This window comes from Homo sapiens, chromosome 16 (assembly GCF_000001405.40).
Source record: "Homo sapiens chromosome 16, GRCh38.p14 Primary Assembly".
Classification (NCBI taxonomy): domain Eukaryota; kingdom Metazoa; phylum Chordata; class Mammalia; order Primates; family Hominidae; genus Homo; species Homo sapiens.
The window spans coordinates 17,814,771-17,838,151 of NC_000016.10; the positions used below are offsets into that span (position 1 = coordinate 17,814,771).

Below are 23,381 nucleotides of genomic sequence, written 5' to 3' on the forward strand. Positions count from 1 at the left end.
AAGTAGAAGGGAACTCCTCTTGCCTGGCTGTTTAGAGCTGAAACACTGGCCTTTTCCGGTCTTCAGGCTCAAGTGGAAACATCAGCTCTTCTTGGGTCTCAAGCCTGCCAGCTTTCAGGCTACAGTTTATACCATGGGCTCTCCTGGATCTCCAGTTTGCTGACTACAGACCATAGGACTTGACAGTCTCCAAAATCACATGAGCCAAGTCCTTATAGTGGATACATAGGTAGGTAGGTAGGTAGATAGAGAGACATAGAGACAGATGACAGAGAGGCAGACAGATGGATAGAAACACACACACACACACACACACACACACACACACACACACACACACACACCTGTTTCTTTTTCTCTGGAGAATGCTGACTAATACAAGCAGAATCCAAATAGTGCTAAAATGGAGGTGAAAATGAAGAAATAGAAATGTATTTGATCTATACGTAACAATTTTAAAAATGCAAAAGCAGGAAGAAAAGTGGGAAAACAGAAGAGCCTACCAGATTATATATGAAGCAGCATTTGGGGGCAGTACAGAGAAAGAGGCGAGAGTTTGCAAGGAAGCATTCCTAAGAATGTAAGAGACTGGAAGCAGGGAAATAGAGAAACTTTTCAAGAGATACATAGGACATCAGAAATGATTCTTTCCTTTGTCATTTTCTCAAGAGTTTGAAGAAAGCTTTGATTTGTTTTTAACATTTTCTGATGAAAATGAGACATTATATAAGACAGGGCCACATAGGGTCCTAGTTATGTGCAGATTACAGTTATACAGATTCTCATACATAAGTTACATGTGGGTTACAGTTATAGAGATTCTCATGTATAAGTTCAACATTTGGGGTGGGTTATTGGTTTATGAAAATCTCTCTCTCTCTTTCCCTCTTTCCCCTTCCCTCCTCATTTCTGTCTCCATCTCTCTTTCTCCCTCCCTCCTCCCCGATATAACCAATTTATTTAGCTAAGGATACAGAAACCTATTGAATGCGAGGTGGCCATATAAAACAAAGGCCACTGCAATGTGTCTCATTTTAGCTTCCCTTGGCCCCCAGTGTCTCTGAAAGGTACACATTTACATAAATGCAACAAATTTAGAGAGTCACATTTTTACCAGTATTCTTGATTTTTGCTTTTTTAATTAATTTTTTTAATTTTTGATTTTTGTATACTCAAGGTATGCATTAGAATTGCACAAAGACTTTCGCTGACAAGCTATGTATTTCTATTTAAAATAAGTTCTCCTGGTTCTCAAACCCATATTCGGTATTCACAAGACCCATGTTCTTAACAGATGTAATGGGGGAAAAAGCACGTTCCATTCTTAAGTCAGTTCTTAGATGTCCCTGAAAAAAATATCTGCCCCTAGCACTCCAGAAAACTCATTTCCCTGCCAACAAAGCTTGCAACGTTATTATTAACCATCAAGATGTTATCAAAATGCCAGGGGTTCAGTCTAGGTCCTGCTACTTGCCACACAGATAGCCAATCAATGAGATAACAAGTATTACCAGGGAAGAAGGCTTTAACTGGGTGCTGCAGCTGAGGAGATGGGTGATCAGTCTCAAATCCATGTCCCCAGCTGACCAGAAGTGGGGGTTTATATAGCAGGGAAGGAATGTAGCTACGTATAAGAAAACAGGAATTAGGAATTAAGTAGCGGTAAGGAAGAGGAGTTTGTCAACAGGAAGCAGGTGGTTGATTAGGAAAACAGAAATTAGGGAGGGGTAAGGAAGCAATCATGATGAATGAAGTGTTTGGCCTCTCATTGTCCAGATACAGTGATCTGTTAATTTTCAATTCCTTGATACTATCTGGGAGACCTGATGGTCAGTTTCCTGAGAAAGGAACTCAGATAAGATAAATGTAAATTTTTCAAGTTTTAAGACTAGAGGGTCAATTTTTATAGTTATTCGAAAAACTGTAAACATTAGTTCTATGGGATGATTGGGCCAGTTTCAAAGATAACTTAACTTATAAATATCAGAGACAAAATATGAATCCGGATCTATCTGACTCTAAAGTTCATGATTTTATACTCTTATCTCTGCAGAGCGAGTTCTTAGAAAATAGGCATCAAATTATGCCAATACAACTTCTATAGAAGAGTGAGTCTGCAAGCCAGTTCAGCACTCAGGAGTTTTTTTGTGCCGTAAACAGCCACGGCCCTCCTCTAAGGGCTCCAAACGGAGCACCTGGTATACCTGTATGGCTAGTCCCTAGGGCAGTCAGATCTTTTGAAATATGGACCTAATTTAAGCTTGGTCTTTTATCAAATAACTCACCCGACAAATTCTCAGTTGGCAACCAGGAGGCATGATATGAGCTTCGGAAATTTATTATGAAGAAAACAATAGATCAGGTAATTCACTGTCTTTGGAGGTTTCATGTCAGAGGTTTTTCATCCCAAATTTTACTTTATTTTGCTCTGAATAGAAGCAGGCAATTAAAGATGTCCAGTCAAATTTGTTTTTGAGATAAAAAAGTGCTAAGGCAGTATGGGAATGTTCCAAAGCACTCCAAATGTCAAATAGGAATGGTCATAAAAAGGCAAGTTGAATGTTAAAGATAAGTTGCTGCAATTGGAATGCCATAAAATATGATAGCCTCTTTCAAAATTTTAACATTCAGACGGGATTAGAACAGCACAGAGCCCTTGAGATTTTTTCCAACATCCTCATCTCCAGATCTTTCAAATTGTTGAAACTAATGCACAACCCAGGGCCTGAGACCAAATTTCTCAACTCTCAGGCCAGTGAACTCATTCATTAACTTGGAAAGTAAGAGCTAAATATTTATGATGGATGACTTCATTTCTACCCTTATGTCAAATTTCACTGACACCACTAAATATTTCAGAACACATGCTCATCAGAAAACTTCCCAGCACCACGCACAGGGAAGAGTTTAGGAAGGGTCACAATATCTAGGCATATTGTCTACATCTATGTTTTACCTAGAGTGTGTTCACTGATGGGACAGAGTTAAGTAACATTGCATACTTGCATTGCATTTCATTTCCTTCTTGAAGATTCTCGATTCTCCTCAGCTAATTAAAAGTTCTTAGAAGTTCACCTATAAAGAGAATATTTAGCATTCTCTAAGTCATTCACCCTAGTGATCTGGTAGTACTTTACAAACTAATCCTGTCAAAACAACTCCTGAACCCCTCCAAATTCCCAAGCCTATATCTAAATTTCTTTTTTTTTTCTGATAAAAATAAAATTCTTTGGCACCTAGAATATAACATTATTTCCTCCATCCCAGATAACAGGATGCTGCTGGGTCAAAGTGGGTGAGCTTCATAGTTTCATTCTTGCAAGAGAACTGGTCTTGTAAATGCATATGGGGTTAGGGAGAGCATTGCATTCCAAGGAGTTTCAACTGTTTTTTGAAGCGAAGAATGCAGAACTAGTGGGGGGAACTAAGAAAATGCAAATATAGGGTTAGAAGTAGAGGAATAAAGGAGTTTCTGAATATGTGCTTAGCATTCTGCATGATTGACTGGATCAAAGTTTCTCAGATGCCAATGTGCATCGAAATCACATGGAGGTTTTATTAACACAGAGTTTGGGGCCCCACTCCCAGGGTTTTCAACTAGAAAGGTTTGTGTGGGGCCCAGGAATATGCACTTCTAACAACTTTCCAGGTTATGCTGATGCTGCTGATTCAGGGGCCACACTTTAAGAACCGCTCTTCTAGACCATTGGTTAGCCTTAAATATCTGGCATAACTACTCAGACCAGCAGTCTTCAGGTTTCTTCTTAGCATAAAATCTTTTTGTGCATGACATCATTGTTGTTGTCCGGGTGGTCTTCCGTCCTCACCCGACATCCATGGCTACACCAGGAAACCACTCCTCCCACACTGTCTTGGTGGGAAACTCAGTCAAGTTATTTCCACTCTCACCTGGACAGAGTGGATACCTGACAAAAGCCATGGAGGGGCCCAGCTATAATCTAATACCAGCAGTGAGTATGGGGGTGGGAGTAAGAAGAAGAGGTGAGGTAGAGATTTCATTGTTGCTAGAAAATGAGCACCAAAAAATAAGCTATGATAATTGGCTCCTTTTCCATGCATCTCAAGGTCCCATTTTTTTTCAGCAGCTTTCAATACAGTCTCATCACAGACATCAATATATTACTTAATTTTAAAACGCATTATTTTAAGAATGAGCCCACTTACCCAACCCAGTCATACTTCTAAGCCAATCAGACTCCTATGCCTGGGAATTTGAATTCCTAAACAAATTCCTAACACAAAGTCCCTAAACCACTGGAGCCCAACCCTGGCACCATGAAATTTTGGTCTATTAGTTGCTGCTACGTGGATCCAGGTGCTGTCCCCAGTCCTATCTTCCAGTATTGTCCAGCTTCCCCTTTACTTCTCTGTGTCTCCTCATTTCTCTTTACTAAGTTCCTTTTTCGCCTAAGTAAGCTAATCTGTTTCTGTGGCTTAAACCTAAGATTCTCCCAACAAAAGAAATAAGGAACTCCATATTTAACGCATAAAAATAGTATCTCTGAATAAAGAGGGGAGTGGGGACCTATGACTGAGACAACTGGAACCTGTCACACGTGCTCTTCCTTCCCAAAGAACACCTCCAATGAGTTTCTAAATAGCCTAAAAGTTTTGGGAGACACAAATGGGAGATCTTGGCTTATAACATCTACTTGTGTTTTGGGCTCACTTTGGCAACCAGCTAAAGATAAGGGTTTGGGTGGATCTGGTCATCTTAAAGGCCAGTGGATAAAAATATAGCCCACTTCCCTGCGAGTTTTAATTATAAATCCTTGTATTAGCTCATTCCCAAAAGGCCTTGGAAAAGTGTATTTGTGTATAACACGATCCTCCGGCACACCGGGTTGTATTACTCATTTCATCAGCATAGATGGAATCCGATATTTGGCTCCACTATCATAACATACATCCAAGGGCTTATTTCCTCCAAAAGAAGTACAATTGGAAATAGCATCGATTGAGCCAAAACATGTTAATTTCAGCATATATCGTTAAAGAGCAGGCATCAGCAAAGATGCAGCGTTGAGGAGGCCCACACAACAGAACCATGAGAGTCCTTACAACACAGCCCCAAATAGAAGCTGCCTCCTGGAGGTCTCAAACAAGAAAAGAAATCCACATGAATAAGCTTTGTCTTAAAAAAAGAGTTTTCCATCCTACAACTTTCTTTAAAGGATAGCTCAACTGAAAGAAGTCACTGTCTTTGGAAAACAAAGCCCCTTCACCAAATTTAGTACAATTTTACTTCTAGAGATGGATGCTTCATGATAGAGCATAAGGGCCCCAGGAAATCCAAATCCCACAAGTTGAGGGGCAAACTGTTCTATTCAGGAGACTAGACGTTCTGACTTTGAGAGTGCTAGACAAGCCTGTTCTCTGTGATCATTTTGAATAGGACCCTCCGCTCAAAGGGTGCGGGGTGGGGTCTTAGTCTGATTGCTACATCAGTCCAATCAAGAAGCTGGGAGGCCAGGCACGGTGACTCATACTTTTAATCCCAGAACTTTGGGAGGCTGAGGCAGGCAGATCACTCGAAGTCAGGAGTTCAAGACCAGCCTGGCTAACATGGTGAAACCCCGCCTCTAATAATAACACAAAAATTAGCTGAGCATGGTGGCAAATGCCTGTAATCCCAGCTACTCGGGAGGCTGAGGCAGGAGAATCGCTTGAACCAGGGAGTTGGAGGTTGCAGTGAACTGAGATCACACAACTGCACTCCACCCTGAGCGACAGAGTGAGACTGTGTCTCAAAAGCAAAAAACGAAGAAGAAGAAGAAAGATGAAAAAAGAAAGAAGAAGAAGAAGTTGGAACATAGACCCTCTGAAGGCTAACCACTTCATTTACAGAGGGAGGACTCCAAAGGCCATATGAAGTCCACTTAGAGATCAGAATCTCAGAACTAGAAGGCCAGATAAGTCTATCTGAGAGATACAGCCATTAAACAGAGAAAGAGCTAGACAAGCTCATGAAGGGACTCAGATACTCAGGGGGCTTATCAGTCTTTTCTAGGAATGGGGAGCTGAGACCAACTGGAGAAGTTCAATTATGGTTCAAAAGAAAATATTCTCTGCTGAAAAGTTCTCAGCTAGGGTCATTAATCTAAGAAGGAAAGTTAAGGCTGAAAGGAATTATTAAGCATGCATTGCATGCTTATTTCTAGATGGGAAAACCATTTCCAGCCCAGGCTGAAGACAAAAACAGAAGACGATATTTGAGTCATATTGAGAAGAAGAGTAGGAATATGGATACCCAAGAAGTTTGACACCCTAAGAAAAAAAGACACTGAACTACCCACCTTTGTCAGCATAACACCACTGCTTCTTCTGACTTTATCTTAGCCTTTGTCCACTCAATTCTCAAATAATCACTGAACATACGTATCCCGAGATGCCCCCACATTTTCCTATAAACTGCCCTTTTTGCTTAGCCTTGGTTTCTGTTGCTTACAGCCAAAAACCTTTAACAGACACAATTTCAAGATCCTAAAAATAATCCCCTAGCTTTCATTATCTCATCCTCTTCCTCGTTGCTTTAAAATGCCTACAAACATGTGCAGCTCCATTTGAAGAAATAAAAATTCTCTAATTGCATTTTTGCACCCAGACATCTGCATGGTATTTCACAGTTCGCACAGTATTTTCATAGCTTCACTAATTGGTGATCCTTAAATACTTGTGAGGTTAAAAATAAGGAGGTTTGTTGGTGTCATTATCTCAATTTTACAGATAAAACAGAAAGTCTGTGAGATTAATTAGCTTGTTCCAGGATCTCATGGCTCACGTGCTGTGCAACCATATTTAGAGCAAGGTGTATCTGAGTTTGCTCCAAGAGTCCTAGATTCGCCATTCTTCTTTGGAACCTCTTACTTTGGTGTCTCAAAACCTTAATTTTCCCCCCAACATTGTATATCCAGGAATCCAACTAACTGGATTCTGGCCCATGAAAGTACTTGGACTTGAGTTGTGTGTGATCTTAAATAAGTTATTATTTCTGTTCTGAATTAGATTCTGAACATATTTTTTTAAGAAGCTTCACAGAACAGACTTTTTGTTGTTGCCTTTTTTTTTTTTTTTTTGAGATGAAGTCTCGCTATGTCGCCCAGGCTGGAGTGCAATGGCGTGATCTCAGCTCACTGCAACCTCTGCCTCCCGGGTTCAAGTGGTTCTCCTGCCTCAGCCTCCCGAGTAGCTGGGATTATAGGTGCTCACCACCACACCCGGCTAATTTTTGTACTTTTAGTAGAGACAGGGCTTCACCATGTTGGACAGGCTGATCTCGAACTCCTGACCTCAGGTGATCCACTCGCCTCAGCCTCCCAGAGTGCTGGGATTACAGGCGTGAGCCACCATGCCTGGCCACAGAACAGGTTTTTTATGCAGTCCAAACACAATTATATGCAAGGATTCGTACTGCACAACAAAGCAGTCCACAATGGAAGGTCATTCATTGACCACCATCCCTCCAATGGGCCAAGTAGATTGAGTTTTCATAAAAGGACATGCTCACTGCTTAAATGTCCATTTTTTGTGCATCCTTTCCCTTAAAAGAGCAAAGTGAAAGATTCTGATATTCCTGATGTGGCTTAGAGAATTCTTAATCAAATTCTCTAACCCAGATCTGTACTGGACGTACTCTCAAGACCATCTTCCTCCTTGAGTAAGAATAAAACTTAATACCTGGAGTCACTTAGGTTTGAAGGATGAGCAAATGTCATTATAAAAATGTTATCTACAGAAGGTAATGAGTGCATGGAACCATGGTCGGCTTATCTTCATTGAATTAACACATTAACAAATTCAAAAAAGATTCTTAGAGAATGGGACATAGGATACACAAGCTTTGATGGAAACTAGGTAAAAGAATACTGTCTGTGTTTTACTCCCTGAGAGAGAGGAGAATTCCTTACAATGGAATTCCTTACACTGGACCATTGATTAAAACCCATGTATGTCTAGTGTTCCATTACTGGAACGCTAAGCATGTGGGAGTTATTTATATCCTACTGCTCAAGGTCATCGCTGAGGTCTGATTTCTCACACGTCTGCAATTCAAAAAAATTGCAATCTCTGGCATAAATGGGTTAAACATATCTGACACCTAAATACTGACAGTCACTCATTATCGGTGTGGTTATGGGTGAGTTCCTGAGTTTCTTCCATTCCAAAAAGGAAATAAAAATCTTGCTTCACCTGCATCTCAAGGCTTTTGTGGGGACCTGGGAAGACAGAGTAACCACGAGGTCCCAGAAAGATTTATTGGGCACAAAGTAAGAGAAGTCAGAGATAAAGAAGAAAACAAATTTCTCATTCAAGATGGTATACTGGGGAAAACACTGGACCATTGATATAAAAATACTGAAAGTCATTCATTATCAGTATGGTTATGGGTGAGTCCCTTAGTTTCTTCCATTGAAAAAAGGAAATAAAAATTCTGCTTCTCCTGCATCTCAAAGCTTTTGTGGGGACCTGGTGAGCTAATGGAAGAGGGAATGCTTTGAAAAGAATTGTGATTATTTGGATGTAGAAGGCAAGATGCAGGAGGTGTCACTGGGTGACCCCCAAGTTCCTGACTTGACAAAACAGGTAGATAAGAAAAGATACCCTGGAAGAAAAACACATTTGAGAAGAGAGTTTGGTGGGAGTTGAGTATCCTGTGTTAGTGGAATACCCAAATGGAGATGTACAATAGGCAGCTGGATATTCAGAACACTTGGGCCAGGTGTTCTCCAGAACTGGTCCAATAACCAGAAATTCCATCCTTCTCTCAGCTGGAGTTACTCTGACTGTGACAGCTGCTGCTCCAGTTACTCTATTTATTGTTACTAATCCCCCAGGGCCGCAAGACCCTTCCACAGAACTCTCTCTCATTCCTTTCCACATAAATCAGCAGAAGAACTACACTAAGTCCCAGGTGATAAATGAACCCCTTCCCCAAAGAGTTTGGCTTAAGCCCAAATCAGCAGCTTGCCTGTCGATTTATTGTTCATTTAAATCATTCTTGCCTCTTATGACAAAATGTTAATGACAAAATATAGGTGATCCTCCAATGGAGGGAAAAGCTGTATCTTTGCAACTGGAAATTAGAAATGTATTATTAACAATGAGCATTAATTATATATTTTAATGCTCACAGGAGAGATGTGATTGGGGGATAATTTGCAGAGAGGCATAGGGGGCTCTGAAACCTAGCGCGATCATTTTATTAGACAGATCCTATTTTCTGCAACCATGAATATTTCATTCGGAATATTTACTCCATCTTATTATTCAGCCATTCTTCCTCGGCTAAGCCCCAGATTTAGACAAGTCTTCTCTCTTTCCTGATCTTGTTCTTGAGAGACCGACAGTTATCCAGAGATGATGTATGATTCTGAGAAAGAGTATCCTGAAAACCAAATTATAATTTGCTCTGTCCCCAGGAAAATCCGTATTAGCAATGGAGGCCCTGTGATTACTTAGGGCTGTGCACACTCTATGGGAAAAGGATATGAGGTATCTTAAGTGTTGATATCTCTTGCTCTGGAAAGTCTTCCTAATCCTAATAATCTAATTCTCCAGTCCAAGACCAGATCCAGAGTGCATTGTCCTGCCCCATCAAAGACCCCCACTAGGTTGTCCTAATTACCTGTGACCAAGACACACATCCCTCTGCAAATGTGCCAAGCCTAGATTTCAAGAAGTATTCAGCTCATCAGAACTGAACATTTTAACAAATATTCAGATACATAAACACCCACAACCTACACCCTTGCAAATATGATCAACTTCATGGGAGTAGATGTACTTGCCCAGCATGCAAGTAAGTTTACCCCTACTTCAATGTATTTCATTAAATGAAGTATCTTTCCACCTTTTACTGAGTATTATCTTATTCCTTCCTCACAACCTCACAGCAACATACTCTTCATTCTGTGTACTTTGGGTAGAAGTCAACTGAGCTTCAGAGAGAACATAGAAGCTTAAGAAATAAACTCTTAGCTGGGCACAGGGGCTCCTGCCTATAATCCCAGGACTTTGGGAGGCTGAGGCAGATGGATCACCTGAGGTCAGGAGTTCAAGACCAGCCTGGCCAATATGGTGAAACCCTGTCTCTACTAAAAATACAAAAATTAGCAGGGTGTGGTGGCACACACCTGTAATCCCAGCTACTCGGGAGGCTGAGGCTGAGGCAGGGAGAATCGCTTGAACTCGGGAGGCATAGATTGCAGTGAGCCTAGATTACGCCTTCCAGCCTGGGTGACAGAGTGAGACTCTGTCTCAAAATAAATAAATAAATAAATAAATAAATAAATAAATAAATAAAATGAGCCCTTAAGGGCACATGCTGGTACATGCTAGAACTGAGTTTAAACTAAAGACCAATTCTGAAGTTTATGTATGTAAGATCATCCAACCCACCATTGGGTGAATTTGAGAAAGTTCAAGAAAAAAAAACAAATAAAAAATAATGATAACCCTAATTGTAAACAACAGCAAGTGCCATTTATTTATGACATATTAAAAGCTTTGCACACATTATTTCATTTAGTTCTCCCAACAATCATATCAAGTAGGTACAGTTATCTGCCTTATTTTATTGATGAAAAAAGAATCTCAGAAGGTTAAGCAACTTGACCAGGCACACACAGCTTCTAAGTGTGGGATCAGAAGTCACATCTCTCTGACTCCAAAGCAGGCAAATTTTCACCTTGGCATTGAAGCAGTTTTACAGACCTATGTTGACTTTTCTTTTCACCAATTGACCAGGGAACTTCTAACTACTCAGCATTAAACTTCCTAAATTATTCCATTCCTCCTCTGTCAGACTACGAGCTCAAAGCCTTAGTCCTGGAATCCAGTTTTCTGCCCCAGGCTCCCTGGGCCTATGGGTCCAGAGGAGCTACCTCTTCTCCAGTCCAAAAGAGTTCCCTGACTTCGGAGTCCAGTTCTGTCTGGGTAAAACACTCTGCTGAAGAAGGGTCCATAAGGGATTTTACTATGGCTATCTTTTTGGACATATTAAGGGGCAAGTTCTCTAATGACTCATAAAGGCCATTAACATGGGTTTTGCAGTGAGTACTAAGACCTTCCCATATGAGTATAACTGAAACCCTACACAAATAATGTAATGTTTAATTGCATGTGCAAATAAAATTGTGCAAAACTCTCTAAGAGTATAAAGTTCGAAAGACTGTATTTTATAAAGAATTTTTTAATGATATAGGAACAACCTTAGGCAAGTATGTTAAGGAAAAAACAGCAGGGTGTGAAACTGTACATAGTGTATCATCATCATTATGTAAATTATCTAAAAGCGAGAGGTGGGAGCAGGGGAAGTACTTGCAGATAAATACACAAAAGTGCTAACAATGGTTGCTGATAGATGGTATGATGGAGACTTTTAATTTTCTTTTTTTATATACTGCGAAATTTTCCAAATTCTCCTCGGCGAAAATATTTGTCTTTGGCCTAGGGGGAAATAAACATTTATGAACAACAACATGTTAGGTTATAATATTCAAATTTACATAGAGGTCTAATATTGTAGATTTGATAGCAAACTTCGTGAAAGGAGAATAAAGCTTTCAGGTTTTGCTTCTGTATCTATTCACCCCATTAGACGACATTTTGTTGACATAATATTTTCTGTTTGTTCCTTTCCTTCACCGCTGATGCAGTTAGAATATCTGTGTTAAACAAGCCTACCTGAGGCCAATTACAGCTCTCCTTCCAACCCTAGAAGACAGGAGAAGAGAAGCATCTCATTTCTCTCTCACCCCATCTGATACATATATTCAGGCTGGGCGCAGATGACATCTGTCCAGACAACGGATAATATTGCAATCACTTCTGATTAGTTTCCTGTTACCACCACGCTGTTCACCTGTGTTACAGGAGTGGCTACTGGGGTGTGCTGGAAGGAGGGAAGAGTAGGCGATGAAGGCAGTTACTGTAATTTGAGAATCTGTGCTATTGTTACCAAAGCCGTTTCTTCAGAATCCAGATCCATGCATCCTCCTTTCCTCACATACAGACATTCTGCATGTGGGATATGCTAGGCAACCAGTCAAATTTCCTATGTTTCAGTGGGATGGACTGTTTGTCTTAATTTACATTGCTCCAGGACCTTAGGAGCCATCATATTGGTGAAGAATAAATAGGTCTCAGCGATTGTAACATGATGCATATAATTTGCCACTGACAGTTTTTCCCCTGAAAATAGCAATGAGGAAAAAAACCTAGTTACTTCTTTCAAGCCAGTGGTGAACTTTCTATTCGTTTTCTGAGCAACTCAGTTTTTTGAGAGTCACTCTTAATTTTGTATTAATAAAAACTTGATTTAAAAAATCAGGAAGATGTGTTATGAAGGCTGTCAATCCATTTTCTAATGATCCACATTTCCTTTTTCAAGGCCAAAGCTATAACTTTAATATTAAAATACATGTTCACTCTAGGCCTTACCAATGTTGATTAAGCCAGGGATAAGGCAAGAAGCAGAAAAGATCGACAGTATATTTTCATTCACTCTCTCTTAAAATAATGATGCATGCAACTTCATGTCATTACTTTTTAATGATCTTAGCCTAGTTAATAGCACAGTAATATTCCAAAAAGGAGCAGGAAATTATTTCCACATTTAATTTTCATTGCAAAAGTGAGAGGAACTCTTGATTTTTTTTTCTGCCAGAGAAGCTGTCTGCTGCCTATGACTGCATTAGCTCTGCTACATTACAGCTGAGCTAATGGATCAAAGCCAAGTGATTACTTTCCTAGTCTTTTGAGCATTTCCAAGTACCAACTGACTGGCTCTCAAAGACTTGGACATGGCTTTTCAATGTCGCCATGAAGTTTGCTTGATTTCCCATCAAGGCAGGGCCTTTTGACCTTGCAACTGACCTGAGATGGGATTCATTATATGTGTCCCTTTGGATATCTTGGTTGCACAGAATAATTAGAAAAGGGGGCTCTAGGAAGTGTAATAGAATATTATACATTATGATCCTAGGCCTTTGGTATGGAGCAGTTAACATCACAGAGATGGTTCCTTATGTTGGAGCTCATGGCAGCAAGATTTAAGATATTACATTTTCTCAATTCCATAATGTTCTTCATTATAGGAAACACAATTGATATATTGTATATATCAATTCTTCTTTTTGGGGGAAAGGAGAAAAATAAAAAACAACAAACTAACTTAAATCTTGACATAAATTGTAAAATGCATCTGAGATAACATCAAATGTGAAAAAAAATAAAAGTATGTCTTTGAACCACAATAAGAGGCCACCATATATCCAACAGAATGGCTAAAATTAAAAAGACTGACAACACCAAACATTGGCAAGGACACAGAGCAAACGTAATTCACATACATTGCTGATGGCAGGGTAAAATTGGCCGACCACTCTGGAAAAAGTTCTGACAGTTTCTCATAAAATGAAACCCACAACTATCCTATGACTCAGCAGTTCCAATCTTAGGTACTTATCCAAGAGAAATGAAAGCATGTGTTCACAGAAGACTTGTACCTAAGGAAAAGTTGTCAGTAGCAACTATATTCATAATAACCAAAGGCTAAAACAGTTGTGCATCAACTGAGGAACAATAAACAAACTGCAACATCTTCATTCAATGAAGCACCTTTTTTTTTTTTTTTTTTTTTGAGACGGAGTCTTGCTCTGTCACCTAGGCTGGAGTGCAGTGGCACGATCTCAGCTCACTGCAATCTCCGGCTTCTGAGTTCAAGTGATTATCCTGCCTCAGCCTCCCAGGTAGCTAGGATTATAGGAGCTTGCCACAATGTCCAGCTAATTTTTTATTTTTAGTAGAGATGGGGTTTCACCGTGTTGGCCAGGCTGCTCTCGGACTCCTGATCTCAGGTGATCCACCTGCCTCGGCCCGCCAAAGTGCTGGGATTACAGGCGTGAGCCACTGTGCCTGGCCTAATGAAGCACTATTCTGTAAGCTAAAGGAACAAACTACTGACAGACACAGCATATAGATGGATCTCAGAGACATTATGCTAAGTGAAAGAATTCAAACACAAGAGTGCATATTGTATGATTCCATTTATAGAAAACTACAACAGGCAAAACTAACCTCTGGTGGAAAAAAAGAACAGTTGTTGGTTCTGGAGGACAAAGGATCAGGGCTTGACAAGGAAGGGTTTCAAGGAAACTTTAGTTAATAACATACATGTTGATGCCTGCAACTTACTTTGAAATACGTCAAAAATATAAGCTGGACGGATGGATGGATGGATGAGTGGATGGATGGAGATAGATGGGTGGATATGTGATAAAACAAGTACAGTAAAATATAATTATAGAAACTAGATGGTTGGTATATAGGTGTTCACTGTAAAAGTCAACCTTTCTGCATGGTGATAATTATGATAATAAAGTGCTGGGAAAGTATATCTTTGAATCAAGTAAGTATGGTAGATGAAATGTTTCACCCACATCCTTCCCTGTCCCCGTTGTATGGACTTAAAGAATCCGTAATCCCTATGGTGTGCCTTCTGAAAGCTCACGATTCTTCTATCTTGTTCCATTCAAAAATCTGAAAAATCAGCATGTGAACTTGTTCCGGTTTTATAGTAGGTAGATGTGCGTGACCAATCTCACTTTGGGATATTTGTATTTTAATCCAATAATGCATTTAACACTCACTAAGGGTTTTGTTTGTTTGGTTGGTTGGTTTTGTTTTTTGAGATGGAGTCTTGCTGTGTCACCCAGGCTGGAGTGCAGTGGTGCCATCTCGGCTCACTGCAACCTCTGCCTCCCAGGTTCAAGTGATTCTTCTGCCTCAGCCTCCTGAGTAGCTAGGACTACAGGTGCCCGCCACCATGCCTGGATAACTTTTGTATTTTTAGTGGAGATGGGGTTTTACTATGTTGGCCAGGCTGGTCTCAAACTCCTGACCTTGTGATCCATCCACCTTGGCCTCCCAAAGTGCTGGGATTACAGGCGTGAGCCACTGTGCCCAGCATTAAGTATTTTTTTTTAAGAGACAGGGTCTCACTATGTTGCCCAGGCTAGGGTACAGTGGCTATTCAGAGGCACCATCATAGCATACTACAGTCTTGAACTCCTAGACTTAACTCATGCTCCCACCTCCGCCTCCTGAGTAGCTGGGGAAGTGTCTATTTAATTCCTCCAGTGCCTTATCTATTTCCTCACCTTTAAATATAGTAACAACCATGTTTTGTGCAACTTCTGTGTGCCAGATACTACGCTAAGTACTTTCATAAATTATTGTTATTATTGTAAACTGTCTTGCGGTTTAGGAGTCATTACCACTGCTTTACAGATGAGAAAACTAAGGTCCAGGCAGTTTGGAAAATTTTCCTAAGGTTAGACAGCTATTCTGTGGCAAAGTCAGCATTCAAAATCTGGTGTGTCTGATTTTGAAGCCCATGTCCTTCAACATACAATAAAATGAGGACTTGGACTACGGTCCTTTTTGGTTCTAAAATCTCTAATTCTGGGAGAGGAGGAAAATCACTGTATTAGACACTGTTGAGAGCAATCATTAAATTTAAGGGTCTTCGTATAATTTTATGTCAATAAATAAATGAATATATACCAACCGATTTATAGCATTACCTCCAGCGACTCCTGCAGGCTGGTTAGTTTCTTGTTCCCCCAACATCCCTTGTGTTTTTAAACATAACAAAATGCAAAGAGAAAAGACAATCAGAGATCAGTCTGGAAAAGAGCACACTGCTGTCACCAGCTACCTAACATCAACTGATTGCTATAGCTCAGGGTTGAATTTGTTGTTTCCTGGAAGCCACAGTGAAGGGCAAACATCTTGTATTCTATAGCATTTGCTTTCATATACAAGATAGCATACAAATACTACTGCAGGGGTGAACTTTTTTTCTTTCTTGGACAACTTGGTAGGAATCTACATTCTTATTCAAAAAATGTTAGTTAACAGGGAACAGTATCTTTGGCTTTCTTTTTTTAAAACAGAAATATAAGAAAGCATTCTTCAAATGGACAAACCTTCTGGGATACTCCCTAAAGGCAGCATATGCCCTTAAATAGAAACTCGGCTAAGGCCCTGCTGTGTGGCCGAGAATTAGTTTCACATGCTTGGTTTTGTGAGAATCTCATAAAATATTGATTTAGAACTTGGAGACTCAAGATAAATGACTAAGTTAACTGGTCTTTTGGTTAGATATTGGGCTGCAATTGATTCATGACTGGTTTCTCTAACATAAATTCATGGGACAGAAATTGAGTTTTGGGTTATAGTTCATACATTTCTTCCTTTGCCATTAAATGTTGTGCATGTTTTCACCTAAATGATCAATTACATTGTAACAGTAACCCCTTATTTTATACAGCATTATGTAGTTATCAAAGACCTGTAACTCTTTTGATAACTTCTGTCTCTCTCTTTCTCTCTCCAAACTCCCTCATCTCTGTAGGATAGATACTATGCCCTCCTATTTTATTTTATAGATTAGTAAATAGAAGAAAAGAGATAATAGTCACTATTATTTCATTTTACAGACAAGAAAGTTGAAGGAAAGAAATCTGGCAAAAATTACATACTTGATAGTTGCGGCAGCCAGGACTGACCCTGCCTTACCTCTGTTTGAACAGCAATAGCAATAACGATAGTCATAAAACATCACAGCTTTTATGTAGCAAGATGCTTTGCATGCATACGTCAGTGATTCTCCAGTCCACTAAGAGATTGGAAGACTCCCTAGCTGAGCAGGTCCCTCTGCTGGAGGATTCAGGGAACCAAAGCCTATCCCAAATTGGCTGCCATCTTGACAATTTCTCCCCATCGCCCACTGCCATCATGGCAGCACGCACTAAACCAGAGAAGCTTCTACATGGATTGGTTAAATTCTGGGCTTCCTAAAATGTTCCAGAGGCTGCTTGCAATGGGGAAGTCACAGAGGAGTAACTGAGCCTATCATTCTTGGCCAAGTCCTGCAATTATGGCTCACAATTATTTAGGCTCACCTCTTTCTGATATCTGCTTGGTCCTTCCTTATTTAAGATGCACAGGTGGGGTTTCCAGATGGTCTGGGGGACACTCATTCTTTATTTATCCTCTTCGTTTGCCTTATAAGTAAAGGAAACTTGAGATTATAATAAATGCTCAATAAACATTATACCCGTTCTGGGTTATCAGAAAAACAATGCTAATATGCCCCATATTAGGGTTTATGAGCTGTAGACATGTTCTCACCAAAACCAAATGAGACCTGGTTCACTGTAATGCTCCCATCCAGCAAAAGCCACCACACACACCCGAGCTCCCTAATCCAGCTTGGAGAGTCTCCCAACTGGCTACAAACTAATCAGAAAATATAATGACTTTGTACGTAATCAAACAGTACAAGAACACTTCTTTTGTTGAATGGCACATAATTCCACAGACTTCCATGTGCTCATATATGACCGAGGGCTAAATATCTACAGGCTACCAAAGGTGTAATTAAGGATAATAGACACTGGTACTCATGAACTAAAATCACTGCATTCCTAAAGATTACTGAAGATTCTAATTCAATGTTTTTCAAAGAATGATTGGACTATGCAGGATCCCTTATGCTCCTTCTCAAATGCAGTTTAGGAGTCTGTAGTGCTGAGAGGGTCATGCTCAAAAATATTTAAGATACCACAAATGAGCCAAACAAAAAAAAAGAACAAAATAGGATGTTGAGACTGACCATCCGAAGCTTCACCTTGCCCATTATCACATGACCTGCTTCTCTCCTCCTGAGCTCTTTATTTTCTGATTGTTACCAACTAACCTTTCTAGTAGACAGGTAAAAATAATACCCTTCCAAAGATGTTGCAGTATAGTTCTTGGTCTCTTTACCGGAGTGTTGTTAATTACACATTAACCACATGAAGACTTGGGATGGAGGAGGGAGGAGTTCTTGCAGCCTGTGGAAGGGGAGCCTACAGCACATCAATTACCAACCTTAAGGACTGTTCATTAAGTGAGATGATTTATATAAAACAACTATCACATAATAAATGCTCAATAAACATTATACCCATTCAGTACCTCTTCCTGGGGAATATAATCCATTTTCTACCTGCTGATTAATTAGCGAGAGTCCTGCATATCTGAGTGATGCGCCATACAGAGCATGGACAGTTGATTCATCATGAATAATGTAATGTCACAATCTGGACTATTTATATTCAGGTGAATTGTACATAATATGCCATACATGCTAAAGAGGAACATTAATATTTAGCATTCCAAGCTAAGCCAGGATGATTAATTTGGTTTTAACTTAGTATCTTCTTTGCAGAATTTTCAATCCTCTTTCTCTTTTTAAAGGGACATTATAAGAAATATTTTCTACAACATAATTGGTTCTTGCTTATACACTGCTTAAAAGAGTTGTGTGGGATGTTTCGAGAGCCTTAAAAAATCTCCAGCTAGCTTTTTATCCAGATGTTTTAGTTCTGAGACTTTATGCTAAGGAGACATTTGAAAGTATATGAGGAAAAAGACTATGCAAGAATGTATAAGAACAGGTAATTGCTTCAGTAAATTCATTCATTATATGGAACATTATGCAGTCATTAAAAAATGACTTACACAAAGCATTATCAACAACACAGGAAAAGGAATATACTTAGGTTATAGATTTCAGTAAAAATAATTAGCATACAGTAAGGAACTGAAGAAAATACAGCAAAATGTTTACAGTGGTCATTTTTGAAGAAGTGAGTCTACTGATAATACCTTTTGCTACTTCAAAAAAATTTCCCCATTTGCTTTTTTAATTGGAAAAATTCCTTTACATGTAAGTTAAATATTACTGGCTCCAAGCTCCATGAGGCCAGAGTCTTTGTTCCTCATTCACTATTATGGTTCCAAGTCTTAACATAGGGCTTGTAGTAATTTTTATCAACCTTATTTTCTGCAATAATAATTTCTCTGTTTTTTTTTAAAATTTTTGCTGAGTTCCTGAAGCCAAGGAAATTAATGATGTGGAAGAGAGGGATAATGGTCACCAGTCACCATTTATTGACCACCTACTATGTGCCCGCCCCTGTGCTATCCTCTCTACACATGTTATTTCTAATCCTTGTCACAGCCTTGTAAGTAAATATGATCTGTATGTTTCAGATATGGAAACAGAGGCACACAGAGAAAGCTAAGGAACTTCTCCAAGTTCTACTTAGTATGAATAAAACTCAACTGTGTGATTCTAGTGTTTTCACTGTTTCTACTAGAGCTCACCTGGCCTTTAGATCTTTCTAGAATTCCATAAGCAGATGCTGTCTCAACACAAAGATAATGACCTTTTCAGTTTTCATTGCAGATGTTCCTGAGTGATTACTGCTTCTATTGGTTTACACACGGCATGCGTCTATGCATTTAAAATTGTGCACCTAATGACCCAGGATGCCTTCCTATCATCCATCCTGCTCTCCAGCTCCACTTGGATTCCTTTACTGAAGCCCCAGCACTTGGTCTTCTTGAGTCCCTTGACCTCTCAGCAAGGTGAGAGTGGGTAGCCATGTGCTTGACCGTCTGGGCACACGAACGCAGCACCAAGAAGGCAGATGTTGATGTTTACTACAGAATCTGTGATGAGCATTGCTGGGCCTTTGGATTTGCGGAGTGCGCAGTTTAAAATCACACTCACCTTCAAGGAGCCTTCCTTCTTTCTGCAAATAACTTGTGGAGGGCTCACTCTGCACAGCATAGTGCTGAGTGCTAGAGTCTAAGATGGATAAAAATATTTAAGATCCCTGTCTGTCTGGGGCTCGCACCCCACTGGGAGAGGTAGAGTCACACATGCAAGTACATAAATGGCTATGTGCTATAATAAGGAAGCTGGGTGTTGTGATGGGGCCCCTTCCGTGGTCTGAAGGCCATTTAGGATGTACCAGTGCTCTGAAATATAAAGAATGGGTAGAGATGAACTTAGACAAGAGGGTGGGGAGGGAAGCAACACGACTCATTTCAAAAATAAAAATGGTTAGAATTTCCCAGAGCACATAAGAGCTAGTGAGAGAAAAGACCCAAGAAAGGAGAAGCCTGATGCAGAATCCTAAAGACTGTGCTAAGAATGTTCACATTTATGGCAAATGCCATGGGAGGCTATTAAGACTCTAAGGAGGCTCAAATTACATTTTTAAAAGATCCCTCTGATGGTGTGGGAGATGAGCTGGAGAGGGACGAGAGTGGATGTAAGCTCCTCCTTTCTTCCCTGGTCCAAAGCAGCATCTCTCGATTCATCACACCTACCTTGGATACAGCCTCTGTGACGGAGTCTTCTCTGCACCTCTGCAAATCTATCTTAGGTACCCCTCATATGCTCCATGGCACTGTGTACTTTCTCCATCTTCACACATGTCACAGTATATTGGAATTGCCTGTTTACTTCTCTGTAACATCACTAGTCTGAAAGCTTTGAAGGCAAGGATCACATTTATCTTGTTTACACTTACATCCCCAATGCCACCAACCATGTTGGTTCACAGTAGGCATTCAACAAATATTTACACAATCACCATTTCATTGAGCACCTACTGTGTGCAAGGTACCCTTCTAGTCCTTTCATACGCATGAACTCACCCAATTCTGCCAATACTCCTTTGCAGCATGTTCTATGATTGTCCCCAAGGTAACCGATGAGTAAACTGAGGCACAGAGGAGGCTAGGCAATGTGTCCAAGGTTACAGGCTAGTATGCTGCACCACTGGGGTTCATAGTGCATGCTTACAACCACACACTCTAATGATTAACAAAAGAATGGAATTCTCATCTGTTAGAGCCAGCATTTAATTATCTGTGTTAATGGTTCAAGGCAGTGTCCTGCATCATCCAAAACAGTGAGTAACTTCCAAATAATCCCCAGCGGACTCTATGATACATATGGGCTTTTTTTCAGTAGATTGACCTTCATAAATTACCACTTAAAATAGCCAATAACAAAACCTATTCCTGTTCCCTAAGTAGCAATCAAACTAATGGACAGGAAGTAACTAAGAACTAAACTGGCTAAGCCAAAAAAAGCACTCAATCAACAAATTTAATTAAGCACTTACTTGTTCTTCTTCAGGATCCTGCCATGGTTCCTGTTTCTTATCGCTGCCAAGTCTCTTAAAAGCATATGCTACACCCACCATCTCTATCTACTTCCTTACCTCTTCTTTCTGCATCCTTAAATCAGGTCTTTGTTTGCACAACTGCACTGAAGTGGCTCTGGCAAAAGTCACCGATAGCCACTGTGTTGCCACATTCAATGGGTCCCTTCATCTCCACAGCTGTCCATGGCATTTAGTCTTCTGTGACATCTTTCACTCCTTGAAATTTTTTCTTTAGCACCTTGGATACCACTGCCCATCCCAGGAGAAACAGACGAAAGGACAGGGATCCAGAGCACCCTATTTTATTTCTCATCTCTCTGTGACCGGGAAAAATCACAAACTCTTCCTCTGCCCTGAGTTTTAACCCATTGTGTGCTGCTATGAGATTAAGACATCCAGGCTCTGTGGCTTTCTTTTTTCTCCCCTAATCTTACAGGACAGCACAAAGAATTTTCATAAGGCAGTATTTCACATCAATTAGAAAATATTTGAATCAACAAAACCTCCATAATACAGTATACTGAATATATGAATCCACCAAGGAAATTGAGTTTGTTTTGTTTTGTGTTCTAGCAAGGGATTTCATTTAAGGACATGAGAGGTACAGAGTTTCAAAGAAGAGGGCAGTCCCAGGATCATCCAGGCTAGGAGGGCCCTATAACTACATTTAAACATTGTGCAAAGGTACAAAGGGCTTGGGCTTTGAGATCAGCAACTTGGGCTAGAACTCCAGGTCAGCAAATTCCTAAGAGTATAAATTTCTGCACTTACACTTAAGCTCTTGAGACTCGATGTCTTTATGTGGAAAATAAGAATGATAGAAGAGATAGTGAAGAACAAATGGAACATATAAGCTCTTAGTAAGTGCTCATTTTCTCTCTTTCCCTGGTAGAGATGTAGCTTCCCCACATTTGCCAGCTCCTTTCAAGGTGAGTAGGGCTGTGTGACTGGTACCATCCAATCAATTGCGAGTATATAGGAAGCTCTTAGTAAGTGCTCACTTTCTCTCTTTCCCTGGTAGAGTTGTACCTTCCCCACATTTCCCAGCTCTTTTCAAGGTTGGGTGGGGCCGTGTGACTAGTACCGCCCAATCAATTGTGAGTAGAAGTCTTCCGTGTCACTTCTGGCTAATGCGTTCATGAGCCACTGCAAGACCCTCCAACAGTCCCTTTTGTTGTGGCAGCAACCTGGAAGCCATGTGATCAAAGCAGCTTACATTTCTGAGTCATCACCTAAAAGACGGTCCTATAGAGTTGCCTAACCAGCTTTGGAATTTGCGTGAGTGATACGTAAGCCTTTGTCATGCTAAACCACTAACATTTCTGGGTTAGTCTGTTCTTACAGCACAGCCTAGATTACCCTGATTAAACGCATCACCCACTGGGGAGTCCTTGTGTTCCCAGGGGTGGAAGCAAGGATGAATCAGCTTCATCTCTTTTTTTAGCCAAGGTCTTTACTGATAGCATCTCCTGTTTTCTTCCTTCTCTTCCCTTCACACACCAGAATCGGATCTCTTTATTTTACCCCCAAAGAAACTGAAGTCCAGAGAGGCCAAGTGACTTGTCCAAGCTCACACAGCACATAAGTGGCACAGCCAGGCCAAGAACCCAGGGCCTCCGACTCCCCTCCAGCCCTCGTAGTGTCCACACTACACTACCTCCCAGCAGCTTCCAGCTTCAAATGTTAATAATGTTCTGAGCTTGCCATACCTTTCAATCACTGTAAGCGATACAATCTATGCTACCTTAATGCACTAATTACCAAAGGAGCACATTACCATGCCCTAATTACTAACAAGAAGTGTTGTCAATTCACCATCCTGTTTGCCAGTACATGCAAAATGTTTCCAGACTTGTTCTCAAGGTTTGGCTGGAGGAGGGAAGACAAAATACAAAGAACAATTGATTCATTTCATATTGACAACCAGTCAGGTGGCCCTTCTATTATTATTCTTTGTTACCTAAACACAATCCAACAAAGCCCCAGAAGAAAGGTAGCTGATAGAATGAGATGGGTGGGACAGGCAGTGTAATGAGCTCCAGAAAGAGATTTGCCCACCTGGTTTAGATGCCCATCTTTCCCTTTTTGCCTCTAGGGTTTTTCAAAGCCTCTGTTTTTTCAGTCATAAAATGGGTATAAAAGTAGTGCCAACCTCATGGGGCTGCCCTGGGAATTCAGTAGCATCACGCACACAAAGTCCTATGCAAAATGGCAAGAAGATAATAAGATGCTTAACTGTTATTGCCTATGATGATGATTGCTATTTAGGGGTAGTTTCTT

General features: G+C 40.3%; 1 annotated feature.

Moving 5' to 3' along the window:
• Positions 21,778-22,977: an enhancer, noted in NCBI's record as "P300/CBP strongly-dependent group 1 enhancer chr16:17930405-17931604 (GRCh37/hg19 assembly coordinates)". NCBI's record gives its function as "activates an origin of replication core promoter dependent on BRD2, BRD4, P300/CBP, MED14 and CDK7 cofactors, with strong dependence on P300/CBP, by STARR-seq in HCT116 cells {active_cell/tissue: HCT116}" and the evidence as "EXISTENCE:reporter gene assay evidence [ECO:0000049][PMID:35650434]".